The following is a 23,257-nucleotide window of genomic DNA, read 5'->3' on the forward strand; positions in this document are numbered from 1 at the left end:
GTACAAAAAAAAATCCTTCCCGCTATATGAGAGGTCACAAAGAAGACAAACACACAGTCCCTACCTTCAGTGGGCTTACATTCATTTCAGTGGCCAGACTATCTCATGCACCATACTTTTATTCAAACCAGATGAGTCAACTATTACAATAAATCGATTTAGTTTACGAAAAAGGACGCTCTCAAGAACTGACTGGGAAACCTTGCGAAGAAAATATTCCTCAATTTTCGGTGCCCGCGAAAGGGGTGACTTAAAAACCACAATGGCCTTAGCTGGAAGCGGGTGGTCAATTGTCAGATACAAGTGAGGTCATCGTTTCCCAAGGGTCGGACCTCCGTTTTTTCGGGGGAAATGAAGCTAAGCCTGGGTGGGCTCATTTCCTGATCACACTCACAAGAGGCTGTCATAGGAACCAGAGGGAGCGTCACTTTGCAGGGACTGAGACCCTCGCACCGCCATCACCGGGCAAAGTGGAGAAAGAGACCCAATGACGCGTGGCTGAGGTCCCGAGGATCCATCTCAGGACCCTCAGGATAGACTAGGCTGCATGGGCCCCTAGACCCTGAGGAGGGCGTCCATGATGGCTAGCCGACCCGCGTTAATTTAGTCAGCCACGCTCAGGGCTCACCGTCATCAGTTCCTAAATTCACCTGCAGGGCTAGGGCCAGGCGCACTCACCCCACAGCCAGCCCCACTGGGCCTCGGAGGCAGAATACGGGAAGAACCGCGAAACAACCCTAAACCAATTCTGAGGACCACGAATTCGGATTATCCGGGAGTTCTTTTGCCATGGCACCGCCCCCGCCACTTCCGCTAGGAACCCGGAAGTTCCTACCCGACGCCGGAAGTCCCACGGCCTTGCCTCCTCAGATTCCTCTCTCACCCCCACGCAGAGGAGAGAACTTGCTTCTGGACCCGGGTGGGTGCCGGCTCGGCTCTCCTTGTCTTCCAGAGCGGTGGCCCGGAAGCACAGTCCTCCCAGACGCCAGCGCCAGAAGCTCGGATCGCGGCTGCACCGGGAGAGCGCCGATCTGGGTGCGAGGCAGGTGCGGGGCCATGAATGGGACCGCAAACCCGCTGCTGGACCGCGAGGAACATTGCCTGAGGCTCGGGGAGAGCTTCGAGAAGCGGCCGCGGGCCTCCTTCCACACTATTCGTTGTAAGTCAGCGCTCCCCACGGTTCCCTTCGGCCGCTCCAGCCGCCACATATCAACCTTGACTCCTTCCTTTCTTCCCTCGGCCCTTCAGATTCCAGGGAACCCCCTGCCAGCGTCAGTTACTTTCTCTCGAACCCCAAATCCTTTGGGACATCGATTTGTCCCTTCTTTTACCCAGATTATTTCTCCCAAATCTTCGTCACTCCCTACTATTCTTCTACCTCACAGTCTCAAACACTAGTTCCAAAGGTCTTTGGCCTCTTTCCATTTCCATCCCTCCCCGCCCCCAACCTCGCCCCTAAGGCAAACCTCCCTCCCCCAAGGCAAACCTCCCCCCTCTTATCCGGGTCCACTTCTCCCTCGAAACCCCTCCCCTCCTTTCCGATGCTCCCATCAGGGTTCTCCACATTTAAAAGACGCTTCTTGTTTGTTATGAGCCTCATCCACTGCCTTAGAACCCATTCTCTTCCCTGCTTTTCTCCTCCGACTTGGTCCTGGACTCCCAAATACTGTGCTTTGTCCCCTCTACAGCCAAAGAATTGGCATCCTCTCTGCGCCTCATCAGAGTCTTCTTCCATCTCCTTTCTGTGCTTCATTTGACTTGGATGTCTTTTGAGGTCACCTATACCACCCGGGCTTTTCCTCCAGACCAAGTTCCTTGTGGGTAAAGAGTCAAATCAGAGTTCGTGAGCCTGGGATAGGTTAAAGATTGGTCTACGTTTGGAAGCAGAAGAGAGCAGGCGTAAGGAATGTCCAAATAGTCATTATGCCGGACCTTTTTCTACATAATTATAGACGCTGTTGAGAGAGTGCACTTCCACCCTATGTCCTGGGTGAAGGTTTGGCAGTTAGGAATTGGCTGACAGAGCATCCCTCCGTGATTCATGAACTTCTGGTTTCCGTGGTGCTAACGCTGTTGTTAAGACTTGTTTTTGTCAGAGGACCTAATAGATGTGACTCAACACATGTGAAGAGGGCGTTTTAGATAATGAAATCCCATCTTTGTGTAGTCACTTGCCATGCCATTGCTATGCTTCCTACTGACAGCAGATCCAGCTCTTTCAGAGAGAAGAGATGGGAATAAGATAAGAACATCATTTCCTGAAGAGTTTACTAAGTTGATGTTTTCTTTTGGTGAAGGGCAATGTGGAATTTAAATCATATAGTTCATGTGTGCACCTGTCCTGCAGTTTGAGGCAGGTGTGAATGTGAATTAAGATGGCTATTATGTTGTATTCTAACTGCAGTTTAGAAACACGAGCAGGATAACTTGCGGAGATACAGTTCAGTTGTCTGCTATGAACATCTACGAAGTGTCTTTGTTAAAGCTGTGGAACTGGCTGAGAGTGGTGGCTGACACTATAATCCCAGTACTTTGGGAGGCCGAGGTCGACAGATAGCTTGAGCCCAGGAGTTTGAGACCAGCCTGGGCAGCATAGTGAGACCCCATCACTATTAAAAAAAAAAAAAAACAAAAAACAGCTATGGAACTTGAGTATGGCAAATCCTAATTTTGACAGTTTCTATGCGGAATGAAATCAGCTTTTGATGATGCTGTGGCCTTTCATATTTCATATAGAGTTTACAGTCACAGAATCTGTTTCATATGCTGTTACTTTTGATCCTCACAACCCTAAAAAAGCAACTTATTATGGATGATGAGACAATTTTCCTCTCTCCCTTGGGAGAAGGGAATATCTTTGTTTAATAAAATGGCCTGTAAATTCTTTTTTCCCTCTAGAATAATCAAAAGGGGGTCAGAGGAAAAGTATGTGGAGGTGTAGATGAAACAAGATTGTCCCTGAGTTGGTAATAATTGAAACTGGATAATGGTATACCAGGTCTCATTGTACGATTCTCTCTACTTTTGTGTATCTGAAGTTTTCCATAACGAAACAGTTTTTTAAGAATTCTAAATTATTTTTATTTTCCATTCATCTGAGTAATAATTTTAATTCTTAAATGGAGATGCCCAGGAAACCCTTATTATAAGTAACCTGGTGGGTAAGTGCTTTTTTTCCTTTCCCTTTAGATGATTTTAAACCAGCATCTATAGACACTTCCTGTGAAGGAGAGCTTCAAGTTGGCAAAGGAGATGAAGTCACAATTACACTGCCACATATCCCTGTGAGTTTATTTCATTTTTTTTTTTAATGTAAGATCACAATGAATCTTTGTCTTTTATATTATTGCAATTTAAACTTCCTACTTTTAAAAATGTTTAGATTTCTAAAGTGGCAACTTAAGGAAAAAAGTAATTTTGGGGAGTGGGGTGGGGTGGACTTCATGCTAGGCAGGTGCTTGATTAAAAATAATTCTTGTAATCCTAGCATTTTGGGAGGTGGAAGTGGGTGGATAGCTTGAGTTCAGGAGTTAAAGACCAGCCTGGGCAACATGGTGAAACCCCGTCTGTACCAAAAATACAAAAAATTAGCTGGGGGTGATGGCACATGTCTGTGGTTGCAGCTGCTTGGGAAGCGGAGCTGGGAGGATCGCTTGAGCCTGGGAGGTAGAGGTTGCAGTAAACCAAGATCACGCCACTGCACTCCAGCCTGGGCGACAGAGTGAGACTCCCCCTCAAAAAAAAAAAAAAAAAGATTATTCGTCGTTTTCCCCAATCTTCCTTTTCCCCCATCTGCTACTGAGTAGACAAGGTTCCTGTCTGGACACCTAGCCCCTCTTTTAGATATAGCTTTTCTCCCAAGCAACTCCAGACAGAAAAGCCCTAGGTGCCCTGCTGATTATATGGCCACAACAGCTCAGGAGTGTGAGGCAACCAAGCCAGGAGTTAAGGCAGGCAGGAACCACAGGTGTGGCACATTCAGCTGATTTAGGGATGAAGAACTAAATTGAAAGCTGGATTAAGAACCCTTGCAGAGAAAGACTTTTGTGAAGCTCTGCCCAAGGCAGCACTAATGACAAAGCACCAAAGGGTCACATGATGCTCTTAGTGAACATGTGTTATTGCATGTCACACCCCTGTCCTGGAACATAAGTTCTCGGTAGCTGGAGACAGAATGAAAAGTCTCTGGACAGGGAGATCTGGAAAGCTTTGTGGTGAGGAAAAATTGCCCATTCAAACTGCTGTTTGATTACTTGTTACCTTTGGCAAGTTACATCATCTCCCTTTGGACCTTAGTTTCCCATATGTAAAATGAAAGGTTTAGAAAAATGGTCCCTAAAGTTCTTTCTAGCTCTATATTTTTACTATATAAATAAGGAGTCAAAGAGCCAAGCAGTTTTTTATTCTAAGCAAGGCATTAAATATGATATTCAACAAATATTAATCAAATGCCTCCCACACATTGGCCCATTACTAGGCATGAAGTATATAACCTTGAACAAAACAAGCACATTTCTTGCCCTGGTGGAGCTTATGGTCTGGAGTTTAAATTAATACAAGAAAATATAGCAGTTATTCTACAAAATCAGGGACAGCTTCCTTAAGGAAGTATCTGTGAGCAGATCTGGAGGTTGGGTCATTTAAAGAGAGGGGGCAGGATATAGCTGGCAGAAGCCTTGTTAAAGCTGGCAGAAGCCTTGTTAAAGCCCAGAGGCAGGAGAGAGCTTGAGGATAGGAGGGAAGCCAGTTGCCTTCTGCTCTGAAGCACATGCGCAGGGGAGTATGCTGCAGGGTGAGGTGGAGAGCCAGGGAAGGGCCCGGTAGTGCAAGGCCAAGTGGCTAGTTTAAAGATTTTATCCTTTGGCCTGAGAGCAATTGAGGAGTGATTGAAAGGCTTAGGCAGATGAGTGACATGATTTATTTATTCTGAGCCAACCAGGATAATGACCTTCTCTTGGAAAATGCTCTGTTGGTTGCTTGACATGAGAAGGGGAAACCCTGGTCTCTCTAATGACAAAGAAATAGAGATCACTCACAGTTTTACTATACAGAGTGATAACTCTGCTTAGTATAATGAAAGTAATGGTTAATTTTTCTCTCTTGGAACGTATATAGTAATTAAAACTTTTATACTACCTTTTTGATTACTTAGAACGCGTTGCACATTCACAAATTCTTGCTATATTATTTCTCCTTTATTTTTGCCTCGGAAACCAGAAGGAGATAAAATAGAAATCAGTTCAACCTGTTCTTTTTGAATAGCTCTGATAAAAGATTTCATCAGGTGGAGTCATCTATAAATTCAGTTGATATTCATAACTGGTATGTTTAGTTTGATCATCTTATACTTTTGTGGCAAATAGGGATCCACACCACCCATGACTGTGTTCAAGGGGAACAAACGGCCTTACCAGAAAGACTGTGTGCTTATTATTAATCATGACACTGGTGAATATGTGCTGGAAAAACTCAGTAGCAGCATTCAGGTGAAGAAAACAAGGTATGTGAATAGCCAGATGCAGGTTTATATCATGTTTCCAAACCTCTGTTATCTATTCAGTTTTTATAAGGTTGTGAACATCTGCTTGCTCATAGTGTTCTATCAATAATCTTAACACTACCTGTGCTCAGACAAAATATGTAAATATGTGCTCAGAGTAAAATATGTCTTCCTCAAATGCAATAAAAAGAAATAATGTTTTTTAAGACCTAAAACATGGGAACCATTAGGGAAAGGGGGATATACTTTATAATTAAGCCTATTTTGTTAATCTCATGATTGCTACAGTACCACCTAAGGGATAAGATAACTTATAGACTTATAATTATGAAGGAGCAATATATACTATACTTAACTGGAGTGAAAACATTAATTTTTTTACAAGATACATTTGAGATTACTATAATACCAAAATAAAACTTTGCCTATTTTTTAATATAGTGAACTCTTTAATTCAACAGTTGCTACATGTCTAAAATGAAGCCAGTTAGAGTTTATTTGAAAATAAAAATTCATTCTATAAATAGAAATAACCTAGTGGTTCTATTTGTTACCATATAATACAGTATTTTTTTTTTTTTAAAGAGTCGAGGTCTCTTGCTGTGTCACCCAGGCTGGAGTGCAGTGGCATAATCATAGCTCACTTATAATACAGTAATTATTATAATACAGTAATTAAATTGTAAAGATTGTCACAACCTGATGTTTTTTATGCTTCGTTAAGCCATTTTTTTTTCATTCATTCATTCCACAGAAAATAAAAATAGGTACCATTTATTGAGGGGGTATCATGTCCCAGGCACTCTGCTAGATGCTTTATATGCATTGTTTTATCTAACAAGTAATTTTTAGAAAGGTGTTATTATTATTTTTTACTTCTTTTGTTAAAAATATGGAATTGTTCATGAGTTTGTGTGTCATCCTTGCACAGGGGCCATGCTAATCTTCTCTGTATCATTCCAATTTTAGTATATGTGCTGCCGAAGTGAGTACGAAAGGTGCTATTATCTAAAAAAAAAAAAAAAAAAAAAAAGGTACGGAGACTGAGGGTTAGAGAGCTTGACCTACCCCGGAGAGTGTGCTGCAGAGTCCTTGCTCCTGTCCTGCCACTCTATTTATTTGTATTCATTACCTACAGTGAACCAGGTGCTACCGATATTCCTCCAATATCTGATGGTTGTGGTATATTCCCTTACTACTCAGTGTGATATGGGAACTAACAGTATCATATTACCTAGATGATATGCAGAATCTCAACACCTATGAGATCTGAATCTGCAGAGATCACCAGGTGATTTGTGCATAAGCAAAAGTTTTAGAAGCACTAGGCTAGTCCATTTACAAAAGAAATTGTTAACTGATAGAATATTCTCAGCTTGGGATGGAATTCTGCTTGTCTGCCAGCAAGAGCTGGCATGTGATGAAATGAACAAGCAGTATATAGATAATGGAAAAAATTTTCAAGCTGGGCAATATTTTAGGAGCTACTTTATTTAGGAACTCATGCACTCATGATTATAATTACATAATGATGTTTTGGTCAGTAGTGACCTACATATATGACAGTGGTCCCTTAAGATTCTAATGGAGCATGTATGGAAACCTGATATACGGCACTTGATATTGGCATTGCAGATCAAGTAGGGGGAATGACTGATATTCAATTATGGTGGTGGGACATTTGGGTTTTCATGTGAAAAAATTATATGCTATATTGGTTTGCATAAGTACATTCTGCTGTTTGCATGATGAAATCACCTCATGATGCAGTTCTCAGGACTTACCCTCATTGTTAAGGGATGCATGAATGTATTTTCTACTAGTAAAATGGATTTTCATAGTTTCATTATATCCTACATTTGTTTGCTATACATTTGAGCTCATCGAGGGCAGTAAATATTCTATTCATGTCTGTATCCCTGATACATAATATAGTACTGGATTACAGTAGACACTCAAATGTTGAATGAATAGCTCACATGACAAAATTACAAGTATCAGTATTTTGAAGTGGTCTGGAAAGAACATGGGGTTCTACAGAGACTTCTGAGTTTTCAGTCACCTGGACAAATTTGAGAACCACTATTTTTGCCCTGCTAATTTAATGTCTGTATCTCCTTTCAGAGCTGAGGGCAGCAGTAAAATCCAGGCCCGAATGGAACAGCAGCCCACTCGTCCTCCACAGACGTCACAGCCACCACCACCTCCACCACCTATGCCATTCAGAGCTCCAACGAAGCCTCCAGTTGGACCCAAAACTTCTCCCTTGAAAGATAACCCCTCACCTGAACCTCAGTTGGATGACATCAAAAGAGGTAGAGAACATTTTCTGGATCCATGATAGCAACTTGGAGTAGAGTGCTGAATTTTCTTGTGGAGATCACATGGCTGCTGTATTGATACAGTGGCTGGGGCATTCAATGCCATCAAAAAAATGTCTGCAGAGCTCACTGTTCAGAGATGGGGAGGGTGGGGGCTTCTGCCACTTACCTCATTTGACAAGGGTGAGTCCTGGAATAGTGACTTGAGTTTGTGGCTATCTTTGTAGCCATTCTGCTTAGAGGCCTAGGATTTAAACAAGCATGACTTCCATCTAAGCTCCATATGGCACACCTCTAAGGCTTCGGAGAAAGAAAGGATTCTAGGTGTTGGAGGTGAAAACTAAGCGTAGGTGGCAACCTTTCTGAGCTCTACATTAGTATATAGGCTGGAGGAGCTGACCATGGTGCTGCACACTTGTAGTTTCAGCTACTGTGAGGCAGGAGGATCGCTTGAAGTTGGGAGTTTGAGGCTACAGTGTGCTATGATCGTGCCTGTTGGTAGCTACTGAACTCCAGCCTGGGCAATAACATCTCTTTTTTGGGGGGAAAAAAAGGATTAAAATGCCTTTTAAAATACCATAAGCAAATGTCCTGTGCTAACACAAAGTGTGTAAATATGAAAGAGGCCATGAGGACCAATAGAAACAGATACTGGCCTAGAAAGAGTTAAAGGTCCAGTTTGGTTCTCTCCACTGCAAACCTGAGACAAAAAAGCTTACCTTGGCTTTCTCCTTCACACGATGAATGGTTTTAGTCCTCCAGACTCTTTAGAAGTTGTGAGGTCATATTTCATATTTATAAGTTTTATAAAATAACTAAATCCATAATAATAGTAGGGAAACATAAAGAGTTGTCCCTGGGAAATTTGCCTTTTCCACCCTGTAGAACGGCTGCAGACATCACTCTGCACTGTGTACAGTTGTTTTGTCCCTTTTTTTTTTTCCTCATGGATACTGGAATGCTGTTATGGAAGTTTTCACTTAGGTTGAATAGGAATCAGAGCATGAGTGGTTAGTTGTTGCCAATTATGCTTAAAGGAGCCATAGCCATTTAAGGCCACATGGTATGCCTAGACAGGAAAATCTGGCGCCTTTCTTGAAATGGTTAGTTAACATTGATATTTTATATCTGTAAAAAATGCAGTACCTGACAGGCATGGCTGTCAGTCAAATATGTAAAGAGTGAAGAGGAAGAATATTGTTTTACCATTTTTATTTAGTCACCATGGTTCTTCCTGCAAACCTCCATTTATTTATGGGACATGAGAGCTGGAAAGGACCTTAGAGGCTGTCTGGTTTTCATTTTTCCAGAGTGGCTTGGAAAATTCATTGACTTCTACCTAGGTGTCACTGCTGGTTAGAGGTAAATCCAAAACAAGCACTCAGACCTCCCAACTCCTAGTCAAATATTTTTCAACCACTTTACATAATATTTGTCTTCTCTTATGTGGGAATTATGGTTTTATCCCATAGTTCATAATATTCATAATTTTTCTTTTAGTAGATAAAGGCAAATGGACTTAATTCATTTCTTACACAGAACAGCCATTATTCTGAAACAGTCTTGCTTTTTATTTATTTTGAGTGAATTTAATGTTTCCATTGTGTCTCTGGAAACAGGCTGTGTTTTTGTTTTGGTAATTTTGTTTGTACATTTTTTAAGGTATTGAGAAGTAGGACTTTGTTTTAAATTATTTCTTATTGCTGTTGGTTTTGCTGATTTACTATTTATAGAAGCTCCAATGCACTGCCTTGAAAAGGGCTGCTGTGCTGATCCATGTCATATCCTTTATTCCAGAGCTGAGGGCTGAAGTTGACATTATTGAACAAATGAGCAGCAGCAGTGGGAGCAGCTCTTCAGACTCTGAGAGCTCTTCGGGAAGTGATGACGATAGCTCCAGCAGTGGAGGCGAGGACAATGGCCCAGCCTCTCCTCCGCAGCCTTCACACCAGCAGCCCTACAACAGTAGGCCTGCCGTTGCCAATGGAACCAGCCGGCCACAAGGAAGCAACCAGCTCATGAACACCCTCAGTAAGTGTGTACTCCTTTTTATGGCTGAGAGAGGGCCATAGGTGCAGCTTCTATTTATCCTGTGCCAGAACTTACAAACCTAAAGATGTTTAAGGCATGGGAGAGGATCTTGTTAAAAATAGTTTGGAGCAGAAAGGTGTGAGTTACTAAACAGTAAAAAAGGGAAATGAGATGAAAAATCTGTTCTTTCTATTTCTATTCCCCACTGGCTCATACCGGTGTTTGTGAATTCTAGAAAACACTAAAACATGAACAGATAGGCTGTTTTTGCTTTTATACCAGACTTTCGGGGAGCTACCTGCCACCATACTGCTCTCTGCCCATTGGTCTTTTTTCTGGAGACAGAGTCTCACTCTGTCGCCCAGGCTGGAGTGCAATGGTGCAATCTCGGCTTACTGCAACCTCCACCTCTCGGGTTCAAGCGATTCTCCTGCTTCAGCCTCCCAAGTACCTGGGATTACAAGCATGTCCCACCACACCTGGCTAATTTTTGTATTTTTAGTAGAGATGGGGTTTTGCCATGTTGGCCAGGCTGGTCTCCAACTCCTGGCCTCAAATGATCTGCCTGCCTCGGCCTCCCAAAGTGCTGGGATTATGGGTGTGAACCACCATGCCTGCCTATCTTGAACTTTTATAAAAAAGAATCCACTGTCCCCAGACAGTGTGGTGGCTTTTTTTTTTTTTTTTTTCCTTCAGACAGAGTCTTGATCTGTTGTCCAGGCTGGAGTGCAGCGGCATGATCCTTTTTTTTTTTTTTGGTAGAGACAGGGTTTCGCCACATTGCCCAGGCTGGTCTCAAACTCCTAGACTCAAGTGATCCACCCACCTCGGCTTCCCAAAGTGCCGAGATTATAGGCATGAGCCACCATACCCAGCCATTTTTAAAATTTTCTGTAGAGACAAGGTCTCACTGTTTTGCCCAGGCTGGTCTTGAACTCCTCCTGGGTACAAGTAATTTCCCCAACTGCCGAAGTGCTGTGATTAAAAGCATGAACCACCATGCCTGGCCTCGGTGTGTTTTAATGCAGTTGATACTAAAGTAAAACAGGAAAACAAGAACAAAAATTTATTTGTTTTGAAGGTGAACAGAGGGCTAATTTTCTATGCTTTTCTCTTTTTGGAACCCTGATGAATGTTCTCTCTTGGTACACCTTCCTTTAAGGAAGTTGGAAGGTCTAGAGGTAACAGTGGGGAAGTTAACCTAGTTAATCCAACTATTGTGGACCAGGCAGAGATAATCTCAACCTCAGCACTATGGGCAGTTTGGGCAAGATAAGTCTTCTTTGTGGGAGGTTGTCCTGCACATTGTAGGATGTTTAAGAGCATCCCTGACGTCTACCCACTAGATGCCAGTACCAGTCTCTTCCCACCTCCCCAGCCCCATGACAACCAAAAATATCTCAAGACATTGCCATTATATGCCCCATCTTTAACATAGAGACTGAAGTATATGAAGAAAATCTGGCATTCTAGGTAGTTAGAAAAGGGGTGACCTCAGGATCAGACCCCCCTGAAAGGGTTTCATGGAACCCCGAGTCCTCAGAATAGACTTTGAGGAGAACTGGCCTAGAGATTAGCAATTTGGAAATAAAGAAAATCACTTTTGCTACAAGTGGTATCAACTGGGGTTCTGTTATATGTATTCCTATTGTATTAGATTGAAATGTTAAGTAATTATATTCTTCTAAATTCTGCCTAGTAAACAGGAATCTGGGGTTTTGTAAAGCACGTTAGTTCAGATTTGAAATTTAAGATAACGTGACTATCCTGGACAGAGGTGTGCCAGAGCAGATACTGCATTAGCATATTACTGGTGTTAACAGTATTCACCTTTCTTAATGGGAAGCCTACCGGATATTTTCTTAAGTTGCCTTTATAAAGCAACTTAATGTGATCAGTTCTTCCGAATGGTGATCAGTTATTTTAAATATTTTCTTTTTTTTTTTTTTTCTTTTTTCTTTTTTTCCTTGAGACAGTCTCACTCTATCGCCCAGGCTGGAGTGCAGTGGTGCAATCTTGGCTTACTGCAACCTCCACCTCTTGGGTTCAAGCGATTCTCCTGCTTCAGCCTCCCAAGTACCTGGGATTACAAGCATGTCCCACTACACGTGGCTGATTTTTATATTTTTAGTAGAGATGGGGTTTCGCCACGTTGGCCAGGCTGGTCTCCAACTGCTGGCCTCAAATGATCTCCCTGCCTTGGCCTCCCAAAGTGTTGGGATTACAGGCGTGAGCCACTGCGCCCAGACATATTTTAAATATTTTCTTGCTATTTATTAAACCATTTAAAAGTTATCCAGCTTACTTCTCCTTTGCTCTACCCTAATATGCAGTATTGTTGTGCTTTGTAGATAACCAAAAGCACCATTTTGTTTCAGTGAGCCAATTTGATTTTCTTCCCTAAGTTGAATTAACAAGGTTTTACTGTAGTGTGATAGCCAAGGCAATTAACAAAAAATTATGAGGAAGTCATTTTTAAATTCTGTACTTTTGTTTGATTCTATGATTTTACTTTATTTTTTTTTTTAAATAGGAAATGACTTGCAGTTGAGTGAGTCTGGCAGTGACAGTGATGACTAGTGCTGGATCTTTCGAAACCTACTTTTTGGTGCACAAACATGCCGCAAGACTGAGCTACTTTGGCGTGGAGTCCATTGCAAGAGGAAAATGTTATGGATCAGTGACTGTAGTAGGAGTTTGAGGCTCTGGAACTCTCACATATTCAAGTCTTTAACTTAGTGGTGATGGGTGATTTTCTCGTGTCATTTTTGAACAATCTCATCTTTCAAAGTTTAAGTAGACCTGTAGAAGAGCTAACAGAATTATATTTCTATTTAGTTAAAATTGTTAATGAAAAACAGATAAATGTGCCCTGGTCTAAGTTACTCAAAGGCCATATCTTCACCAGGCCAGAGATTCAGTTTTAAACCTCAGCAGCCATCAGTTTGGCCAAGTGGTTGGTACCAGTGGAATGAAGTCTTTGATGGGTAGGAGAGAGAGGGAAAACCTCAAACTACATCATAGAAGTATGTTAAAACCACTTTAAATTGTTGACACAAAGTGGTAAGGAAGTTTTGTCTGACTCAGCCTGACAAGCCTGGATAGAAATGGACCTCAGAATACAGAATGGAGTCCTTGAGTGTCAGTTGGTGAGGACCATGGAGTCCTGCCAGCTCAACCTGTCATTTACAGACTAAGAAAGGGAAGTACACACCTGGCTTGTGGCCAGTCTCCTGCCCCCTCTCTGGGCTTTCCTCACTGTTCTCTCCCTTGAATCTCATTTGTAGGAATCAAGAGATTCCTATACATGGGACTTTTAGATGTACATTGGCACTTGGATTAGATTCCAAAAGACAAAAGTGTTGGGTGCTTCTAGCTTGAATTCAGTCCCTAAATACATGAGGCTGGGTGAGCAGATGAAACCGGTAGCCACTGTGCTGATGCATGTGACTCCATTCAGTTGGGGATTTTGGTTCCATGTGGATCCATACTAAGTATTCTTCAGTCAGTGGATTTTAGCAAGGGGAGGTAGGAGTGGAAGAGAGGTGTGAAGAAACCTCTCCGAACAAATGAACCAGCAGTAAGTTTCTAAAAATCAGAATCTAGATAGAAGTTCTGCAATATGAAATGAGCACATTCTTTGATAAGGCGTATCTATTCATGCTTTTGTACCACTGTTTTGTACCTGACTCCCTGACCGATTTGTATTTTTTATATACAACTAGAAGGAAGTCACAAGATTGCCTTCTACAGTGTGCCATTTCCAAATGGATCTGTTGTTGGAGGAAACTGGTTGCTAGTCAATGTTCTATATTTAATGAATGTGTGATAAATCATCCTGTAATCAGTATGGAGTAACCTGTTTTTGTAGTTTGGATGAATATGTCCTGAGAAATTTCCATCCACTTTGGTTCAGCGGACATCAAGGTAGTAATAATAATTTTTCCTCCACAGGTCCCTCCACTCATATGGCCTCTCCCTCCCCAGCTAGTGGAGGGGAAGCAGTCTGGACTTAGAAAGGAAATAGGTGGTCTGTCATAGGGGCTTTCATTAGAGTTAAACTTCATAGAGTCAACTGTTTCATCATCATAGTGAGCCCAGAGAGCCACTGCCCAGCAGCATGCTCACACCACCTACCCTAGTGTAGGTAATAGGTCTACGCTAGGACCCCGTGCTGGGCTCTCAGCCCATCATGAGATTTTGGTGGATTTAATGGCAGGTAGGAACTTATTTATAGTGGATTGATAATTGCTTTATAATTCCTTGGTAATGACAGCTCAGGGAAGGTTTCACAAGGTCATGATCAGGAGACTTGAATTGTTACTGGATGTAGGAATTGTTTCACTGCTCTTAACTTGCTCAAACTGGGGCAGGTTCCAGGAACTTGAACTAAAAATATCTATTTAAGCCTCTCTCTCTTTCTCTCCTCCCCAACTTTTTTCTGAAAGCCTTGATTTCTGTAGACAGAACTATGGTTTTTGGCATGTTGGGTCAAGACGTGTTTCTATAGGAAATGCTTGCACGTGGCACTGGCTTGGTGAGTCAAGCTTCCTGAGCTTCAGACCGTTTGTCCTGTCATCTGTCCTGCCCAACACTGTATGGTTTTTCTCTAGCACGGCTTCAATTTTGTTCTCTGCACAAAGCCTTTGGTGGTTCTGCCCTCTGCCCTCCAGCTTTACCCACCAGAGTAAGCAATCTTTTCTTTTTAGAAATCAAGAATTTGGCTTCACAGATGGCTTCTCACAGATGCCCTCCTGCCAGCCAAACCGGACTTGTTCTTCCTGCCTCTGTGCCTTCTCTCATTCTCCTTCTCTCCCTCCATACCCCACTTTTGAGGTTCTGTGGGTACCATCTTTGTGGACTCTTGTCTTTTTTTTCAACCCACATGGAGTGCCCTGTGTGTACATACTGACCTTTTTTTTTTTTTTTTTTTTTTGCTTGAACTCTGGTCGGTATGAGCTCCTTAAAAGCAGGTACTGGGCTGGCTGTGGTGACTCATGCCTGTAATCCCAGCACTTTGGGAGGCTGAGGTGGGAGGATTGCTTGAGTCCAGGAGTTTGAGACCAGCCTGGGCAACATGGCGAGACCCTGTTTCTACAAAAAGAAAAAGGGAAAAAAAAAGCAGGGACTGTCATTCTCATCTCCTCCCTGGGGTATCCACAGGAATGGACATTCAAATGGTTGTAGCCTGGTGGGGTAGAAGGCAGAGAAGACTACCCAGCCAGTGAAGTGCAGAGGATAGACATAGGAAAACATTCCAGGCATTTGGAGACAGCTGAAAGTATCCATGCTGACTTTCATGATTTAGAAGTCTTTAACTGAATTATTAAAATTGCCTTTTTTTTGTGCTGTACAATGTCTACTGTACTGTGGGTCATTTAGATGAGATGAAAAACTTAATTAAATCTGAAGTGTCAGAGGCGCTTAGTAAGCCTTAGTAAAGTTGTGATTGAAGAAACTTAATACAAATGAACTAGAGGTTTGTAATCATGCCACTCACTAACGATTTTATTTCTGTAGCAGAATCATTTTTTCTATGTAAGGTGTTAATGTGTGTGTATGTGCTTTGGTTGTAGGAAAACTTGAAAATTCCAAAATCCTTATTTTCCTATTTGAGAGGCTGGTTCAGCAGGGTGTGTGTGTGTGTGTGTGTGTGTGTGTATGAATGGTATATTTATTACATTATTTTGAAAGAGAATTAGTGTGTTATGTGGATAATGTTATATACAGCCAAAGTGGATGTTTCTATTTGGCAAGGAAGGTAGGATTTCTGAAACTCAGGCCTTAACCAATAGGTTGGAAGACAAGACCAATTGAAGAGTTAGGAAATGTGAGTTTTTGTTACTTCTGTTATTCCAGTCTTGGTTTCATTGTCTCATTCTTTATTTTTAAAATCTTGTGCCTAAAAGTTTTTTTGCTTAATTATGAAGTAGACATGCATGTTTACATTTATGTAAAATATTTGCTGTGTAAAGTATTTTTTGTTTATTCTCTTAAAAGATCACTATATTTAAATAAAAGTGAAGGTCAGCAACACATTTCTTGTCTTGGTGGGTTTCATTTTCTTTTAGAAATCAATGAGCAATATAGGGTTCTTTTAAGAACCTTCTGTGCTTAAGCCTAAATAGCTAACTAAATGGATTCCTTTTTAATTTGGTGTTTATAATCATTAGGAAGTATACCTCAGCTTTTAAAAGGTGTGACATTCAAAACTGAAGGACGAACTTCAGTTTTTAAAAGGTATGAAGTTCAAAACTGAATTACATCTGAGGCCATTTTACTTGGTCTGAGAAGGAGGGCTTAGTTTGGGTCTGAGAACCATGCAACAGTTAAACTGAATCCCTAGACATATCCTATTGTCATTTTAGTTTACCAGATTCCTTCTGCCTGGAATGCTATGCCACACACACCTCTGACTCCCAGCTGACATTTGGCTAGAAATCCTGACCTCCTGCTTCCATTCTCCACTTCTGCTTCAGCAGTGCTCACATTTACCTGTGGTCTTGGCTCCTCTGCTAGACTGTATAAACTTCTAGGTAGGCAGTGGCCATATTCCTTTTTAATTCGCTGTAGTGTCTCTAATGGGTGCTCAATATATTTGGATTGAATTAAATTACGTGTTAAGTCTAGAAATCCTCTGCTACTTAATTCTGCAATGTGCTTGTTCCCTCAGATGGTAATAGGAGTTAGACTTGAACCATCTCAGTGGGGAAGTGGTGGTGTCCATCACTGAAGGGAGTTTTATCTTCAGTTAACTATTGCCACTGTAATGTTCTGTAACAAACCATCCCAAAACTCAATGACTAATAAGCATTTATTTTGCTCACAAGTCTGAGTTGGCTTTAGACTGGCCTTAGCTGGACAGTTCTGGTCTTGATTGGCTCCCTCATAGGCCTGGCAGTTGACTGAGGTTCAGCTGATCTAGGATGGCTTTGGCCAGCAGAGTGGGGGCAACAGCTCTGCTCCATGTCATCTCCACCAGCCTAGCCTGGGCATGTTGTCATGGCAAAGGCAGAGAGGTGTAAGAGTAAGAGAGGAACCAAAATACTTCTGTCACAATTGCTAAGACATCATTGGCCAAACCAAGTTAGAGAGCTAAGTTCAGAATGAAGGGGTGGGGAAATCCATTCCCCAAAATTGATGGGAGGAGTTGAAAAAGAGATTGGAAAGGGTGTAGATACAGGGAGGTGGGAAGAATTGTGGCTATTAATGCCATCTATTACATTCACATGCCCTGTGACTGCCATGTTTGAGACCACTGGGCCACATGATCGCTAAGTCCCCTCCCAATTCTGGCATTGTTCCTGGCCAGATAAACGAAAGTTCCAGTAAGAGTTAAGATATTTCTATTCATGATTCATGCAGAGGGCACCAAAAGCCACCCAATGGCTTCTCTTGGCTTGGCCCTCCCTCCTTCATTCACTGTGTATAGTTTGCTCCCCTCCTGCCATTTCTTACCAAGAGCACTATTCCAGTTATCTGTTGCTAAGTAACAAGCTACTTCCCAGAACTTGGTGGTTTAAAACAATCACTATTTTACATCATGGAATTTGTTGGTTACAAATTGGGACAGAGCTTGGCTAGGCAGGTCAGCTTCTTGTGGCTTTAACTGTGGTACTTAGCTGGCAGATGGGCTGGACTGCAGGGTCCAAGCTAGCTTCACTCACATGCCTGGCATCCTGGTGGAGGTGGCTGGAAGCAGGCTCCTGGAACCTCTGGGCCCATGGATTGTAATGGTGAATTGCTCAAATGTAACAATCTCCTTGGTGAATTGCCAAGGTCCTTGACCTGTAAGCTGATTATCATCACACAAGTGCTGAAGAACTGCATTGAAAATTTAAATTGGCTCACTCTACTGTGGGGGAAGGATGGGGCCGAACAATTCCAGTAAAGCAGGCATTGGGGAATAGGTCGGCCCATTAATTGTAATGAGCTTTGGAGATTATTTAGCAATTTGACCCACACATACCCTCCATGCCCCTAGCGGAGCGATGGCCTATGTGTCTGTCCCAGGAGACACTCAGAAATTGTCCCATCCGCTTCCCCAGCACTGGTTCCTAAGTGAAGTGCTGGTGACCAAGCTGCCATCAAAAACCTTACTTTGCTTCCAAATCTGTTACTAAAACGGCTTTGCAGGTGGACAGATAAGAGGTCTAGGGCCAAACCCCAACCCTACACTTCCCTGGTCATGGTAGGAGTTCCGGGACGGCCTAGAGAATCCCAGAGACAGGCTGGATCCTTGGGGGTCAGTTGAGCACAGCTTGAGCTTCTGTTACTGGTGAAAGCATCAGAACCAGTCCAGTACTGAAAGAGTAAAAAAATCAGTCTGGGTAGAGAGAGTAAGTCAGCTCTGTGCCCCTACCATGCCTCAGACTGTCATAGCCGACACCAGAAAGCCAGTTGCAACGTTAACAGGAGAAATATTTCTCCCACACTGCTGCAATTGAAAAGTGTCATAACCATTCCTTTTTTTTTTTTTTCCTTCAGAGGGAGTCTTGCTCTGTTGCCCAGGCTGGAGTGCAATGCATGATGCTCACTACAATCTCTGCCTCGCAGGTTCAAAAGATTCTCCTGCCTCAGCCTCCCAAGTAGCTGGGATTACAGGTGCCTGCCACCATGCCCAGCCACGTTTTTTGTATTTTTAGTAGAGATGAGGTTTCACCATGTTGGCCAGGCTAGTCTCAAACTCCTGACCTCAGGTGATCCACCCACCTTGGCCTCCCAAAGTGCTGGGATTACAGGCAAGAGCCACTGCATCCGGCCAACCATTCCTTATTTTGAGTGACTACTGCTTTCTTTCCAATGACATCTCTAGCCTTGCTTTGTTACTCCCGCCACCTGAAAAAAATCACTGTGAAACTTTGTGAATACCCCTAGATCCCCAAAGAGGTGATTGATTTGGCCTGAGCCACTAAATAATGATAACAACAAATAAAATCCAACACTTCCAAAACATTTTTTTTTTTTTTTTTTTTTTGGAGACAGTCTCACTCTGTCACCCAGGCTGGAGTGCAGTGGCACGATCTCAGCTCACTGCAACTTCTGACTCCCAGGTTCAAACGATTCTCATGCTTCAGCCTCCCCAGTAGCTGGGATTATAGGTGTGCACCACTACACCTGGCTAATTTTTGTAGTTTTAGCAGAGTTGGGTGTTTCACCATATTGGCCAGGCTGATCTTGAACTCCTGACCTCAGGTGATCTGCCCACCGTGGCCTCTCAAAGTGCTGGGATTACAGGCGTGAGCCACCACACCCGGCCTTAAACCATGTTATCACTAAAATTCACCACAACCTTGAAATAAGGTACTATTATTCCCCATTTAGAGGTAAGAAAACAGAGACTCAGAGAAGTGAAGTAAATTAAGCGGGTTAATTAAACAGCGAGTTTGTGGCAGAGCCAGGCTTCAAATCCAGATGTGTGAATCCAATCTTCTGCTTTTTTCACAAACTACACCACATCTTTCTTGACCTATGGCACTCTGTGAGAAGTCAGTCTCTGTGAGTGGACCTGTCAAAATCAACCAGGCCTGCAATCCCAGTACTTCAGGGTGTGGAGGTGGGAAGATCGCTTGAGGCCAAGAGTTTGAGACCACCCTGGACAACATAGTGAGACTCAATCTCTACCAAAAAAAAAAAAATTAAAAGACTCGAACAGCAGGCCGGGCACGGTGGCTCACATCTGTCTATAATCCCAGCACTTTGGGAGGCCAAGGCAGGCAGATCACTTGAGGTCAGGAGTTCGAGACCAGCCCAGCCAACATGATGAAACCCCATCTCTACTAAAAGTACAGGCCGGGTGCGGTGACTCACACCTGTAATCCCAGCACTTTGGGAGGCCGAGGCAGGCGGATCACGAGGTCAGGAGATTGAGACCATCCTGGCTAACATGGTGAAACCCCGTCTCTACTAAAAATACAAAAAATTAGCCAGGTGTGGTGGCGGGCGCCTGTAGTCCCAGCTACTCAGGAGGCTGAGGCAGGAGAATGGTGTGAACCCGGGAGGTGGAGCTTGCAGTGAGCTGAGATCACACCACTGCACTCCAGCCTGGGCAGCAGAGTGAGACACTGTCTCAAAAAAAAAAAAAAATACAAAAATTAGCCAGACATGGTGGCTTGTACCTATAATCCCACCTACTCAGGAGGCTGAGGCAGGAGAATCACTTGAACCCGGGAGGCAGAGGTTGCAGTGAGCTAAGATTGTGCCACTGCACTCCAGCCTGGGCAACAGAGCGAGACTCCATCTCAAAAAAAAAAAAAAAAAAAAAAGAATCAACCAGTAGCTTTCTGGGTATGGTGTGAGCAGTCTTCCCAAAGGTTTGCCTCAAGCAACTCAGCACCTATTCCTGCCAAAAGGAGAAGCAAAACCAGATAACCAGTGGAATGGACATTATGTGTGCCCTGTACCCATTCCCCCAATTCATGCTCCCCAATATTTGGTCCAGAAGTCACCCCCATGTAGCCTCTGTGCTTCTGCAGAATCTCCAGGGGATAGGCTAAGAATAACGTGTCTAACAGTGCTAAGCTAAGCCCATGGCCTGGGTCAGCAACATTCTAGAAGAGGAAGAGCATTGTAGCCGATTGTTTGGCTGGATGGTAGTGATGGGGAACAGTTCCCAGGTTGGGCATGCAGAAGGTTTTCCGGTACTTTGGATTAAGACAGGATGCAGTGGTCCTAAATTCTTATAACCTTTGTCTCCATGGGTTCAGGAACCCAGCCTTCATTCGTCAGCAAGTGCCATTCTCCTGACCAATAGAAATTGGTTCAGTAACAGGCGTGTGACCCAAAGCAGACCAAGGAGGCTCACTGCCTCCTTGGTTTGCTGGGGATTTCCAGAAAATAAATTTTCTTTCTTTTTTTTCTTTTTTTTTTTTTTTTTTGAGAAAGGGTCTCACCCTGTCACCCAGGCTGGAGTCCTGTGGTGTGATTATGGCTCACTGCAGCCTGAACCTGCTGGGCCCAAGCGATCCTCCTGCCTCGGCCTCCCAAGTAGCTGAGAGTGAAGGTGTACGCCACTCCACCCAGCTGATTTTTGTATTTTTTATAGAGATGGGGTTTCGCCATGTTATACAGGCTGATCTCGAACTCCTGAGCTCAAGCAATTCACCCACCTTAGCCTACCAAAGTGCTGGGATTACAGGCATGAGCCACCATGCCTGGCTGGAAAAGAATTTCTTGAGAGCCACTGGAACAGGCATTGTCTCTTCCTCTGGATTCTGCAGGGTGCAGATGTAAGCTTGAAACTGCAGCAGTCAACACCCTAAGGATCCACCCTAAGGATCAAATTAATGGAAAGGTTCAAATAGTTGAGAGGATAGTAGAGGAATAGAGTGGGGACCTTGACTGAATCATGCCTGATCACCCCACCCCAGTGGACTTTTAAAGTTATATGAACCAATAAATATGTGGTATTCAGACTGGATTTTCTGTTCTTGCCAACAAAAGCATATGGACTGGCATAGCCTTCTTTGGTGACCAACTGCATCTCTGAGACCCTGTCTTATTCTAAGCCACCCCATGTGACAGCCTCAGGAGCAGCTAAGGGAATCCGTTCCTGTTCCTAGGGTATGTTGTCAGAGGTGAAGGGCAGGCGCCACACCCACAATCTGTTAGAGCTGCAAGAAAAATCAGCCCTTATTGAAAGTCTTTTTCAGGTGAGGAAATTGAGACCATGAGAAGTGATGAACCCAGTCTGAATCCAGGTACCTGCACCCCCTGTTCAGTGTTCTTCCCTCCACATTCATTGTAGCACCCCAACTTCCTCCAGGACCAGCAGATTATCTCAGGAAACATCTACTTGGCATAGATGAGCTCTTGGATACCAATTATGTGGCTCCCTGGGCAGCACAGCCACTTTTCTTCATGGGGAACCAGCTCCCTACATCACAGTTAGGATTTCAGGAAGGGCTGGGAGCTGCCCACCTTCCCCGATCTCTCATCTTTCAATTTCAAAATGCCAAAGGGCCAGAATTACTACTATTACACATATTCTTAAAACATGTGACTTTGAATCCTTTCATGTCCTGAGCCTTTCAGAACCGTCCCTTGAAATAGCTCCAGATAGGCCCATCCCTAATATTTCGGGGACCAGGAAAGAGCATATATGGACACTCACATACCAAATGTTTAGGTATTTACATTATAATCAAAGAACAGACTATTTTTGTTGTTTTGCTTTTTGTTTTTTAGAGGTGGCGGGCGGGGAGGGCGGTCTCACTGTGTTGCCCAGGCTGGCCTTGAGTTCCTGGACTCAAGTGATCCTCTCTCCACAGCCTCCCAAGTAGCTGGGACTACAGGCACATGCCACCTGATCTGGTTTGGCTGTGTCCCCACTCAAATCTCATCTTGAATTCCCACATGTTGTGGGAGGGACCCAGTGGGAGGTAACTGAATCATGGGGGCAAGTCTTTCCCGTGCCGTTCTTGTGATAGTGAATAAGTCTCATGAGATCTGACGGTTTTAAAAGGAGGAGTTCCCCTGCAAAAGCTCTTTCTCATTCTCTCTCTTTCCCTGCTGCCATCCACGTAAGATGTGACTTCTGCCATGATTGTGAGGCTTCCCCAGCCACGTGGAACTGTAAGTCCAATTAAACCTCTTTCTTTTGTAAATTGCCCGGTCTCAAGTACGTCTTTGTCAGCAGCATGAAAATGGATAAATACAAATTCCTGGACTTAAGTGATCTCTCACCACAGCTTCCCAAATAGCTGGGACTATAGGCACATGCCACCACTCCCAATTAAATGATTCAATATGTTCTATCTGCTTCCCTCAAAAAGGATACTTTCATAAAGAATGGAAGGCCAGGTTTGAATTTGGAATTTTAGATTCCACAAAGTCCTGTGGTAGCAAGAGGAGAGGAGGGTCCAGCCCCTTGCCAGATCCCCTTCTGTTTTTACCCCTGGCCCATCCCACACTAAGAAGGGCTTCATGTGTGTCCATGAGGAAATCCCAGCCCACATTCCAAGCCCCATCTATAATTCCTACAAACAACTTTTTGCTGGCCACCCCCAGGCCTGCATGTGTTTCAGGTCACACTCAGGAGGACAGACATGGGCAAGAGGCCTGCAGGTCTAGGAAGCAGGCTCAAGACCACTTGGGTGGGGAACTGTGGTTTCCCAGGTACCTGGAGCATGGTCTAGGAGTGGGGCTTGCAAGCTCCAGCGGGTATGTTACTTTGGCCACATAGAGACCTCACCCTGTGGGGAGGGTAATGGCCAGAGGAGGGCCAGGGTAGGGCCCTCCAGCCTTGGGACCCAGGACAGGGCCTCTCTTGGCCAGATCCAGGAGTAGTACTAGACCTCCATTCCATCCTAAACAAGGTCCTAAAACTAGGGCTGAGGACAGGGCTGGCCTAGCAAGACTGGGTTTTTTGACCTTGGGCAAGTCCATGACATCTCTGGATCTGTTT

The 23,257-nt window shown here is 43.6% G+C and overlaps 2 protein-coding genes and 1 pseudogene across 23 annotated transcripts in view, besides 2 other annotated features; 1 reads left to right on the top strand and 2 right to left on the bottom strand.

Annotated features, from left to right (window-relative positions):
* METTL6 (methyltransferase 6, tRNA N3-cytidine) overlaps nt 1-920 on the bottom strand; it is a 46,369-nt gene extending 45,449 nt beyond the window's left edge. For 15 of the 20 annotated variants that reach the window (XM_017005719.2, XM_017005723.2, XM_005264867.5 and 12 more), the window contains exon 1: nt 679-821. The gene's annotated coding sequence lies outside the window, so the exon portion shown is untranslated. The other 5 variants (XM_006712970.5, XM_047447452.1, XM_047447451.1 and 2 more) reach the window with 3 other exon arrangements.
* Nucleotides 792-955: a silencer, noted in NCBI's record as "fragment chr3:15469022-15469185 (GRCh37/hg19 assembly coordinates)". NCBI's record gives its function as "represses an EF-1alpha promoter that drives an FKBP-Casp9 reporter gene in an ReSE screen in K562 erythroleukemia cells {active_cell/tissue: K562}" and the evidence as "EXISTENCE:reporter gene assay evidence [ECO:0000049][PMID:32094911]".
* Nucleotides 875-15,890, top strand: EAF1 (ELL associated factor 1). Of its 3 annotated transcripts, NM_033083.7 has the most exons (6): nt 875-1,159; nt 3,190-3,284; nt 5,364-5,500; nt 7,625-7,815; nt 9,619-9,852; nt 12,386-15,890. In NM_033083.7, exons 1-6 carry the CDS (start codon nt 1,057-1,059, stop codon nt 12,430-12,432), a joined length of 807 nt encoding a protein of 268 aa, NP_149074.3. In that variant the 5' UTR covers nt 875-1,056; the 3' UTR covers nt 12,433-15,890. The 3 variants fall into 3 exon arrangements, with proteins under 3 accessions (NP_149074.3, XP_011532467.1, XP_011532468.1); XM_011534165.2 differs by lacking the exons at nt 875-1,159; nt 5,364-5,500 and adding an exon at nt 1,599-1,904; XM_011534166.2 differs by lacking the exons at nt 875-1,159; nt 5,364-5,500 and adding an exon at nt 1,599-1,899.
* Nucleotides 952-1,231: an enhancer, noted in NCBI's record as "active region_19534". NCBI's record gives its function as "activates an Ori minimal core promoter by ATAC-STARR-seq in GM12878 lymphoblastoid cells {active_cell/tissue: GM12878}" and the evidence as "EXISTENCE:reporter gene assay evidence [ECO:0000049][PMID:35858748]".
* RNU6-1024P (RNA, U6 small nuclear 1024, pseudogene) lies at nt 6,388-6,493 on the bottom strand (annotated as a pseudogene).

This window comes from Homo sapiens, chromosome 3, assembly GCF_000001405.40.
Source record: "Homo sapiens chromosome 3, GRCh38.p14 Primary Assembly".
Classification (NCBI taxonomy): domain Eukaryota; kingdom Metazoa; phylum Chordata; class Mammalia; order Primates; family Hominidae; genus Homo; species Homo sapiens.

Excerpts from the sequence above, each read along its gene's own strand:
- EAF1 (NM_033083.7), top strand. The coding sequence starts at position 1,057 with ATGAATGGGACCGCAAACCCGCTGCTGGACCGCGAGGAACATTGCCTG. Across the intron at positions 1,160-3,189 it reads CTCCTTCCACACTATTCGTT|ATGATTTTAAACCAGCATCT; the intron begins GTAAGTCAGCGC and ends CTTTCCCTTTAG. Across the intron at positions 9,853-12,385 it reads CCAGCTCATGAACACCCTCA|GAAATGACTTGCAGTTGAGT; the intron begins GTAAGTGTGTAC and ends TTTTTTAAATAG.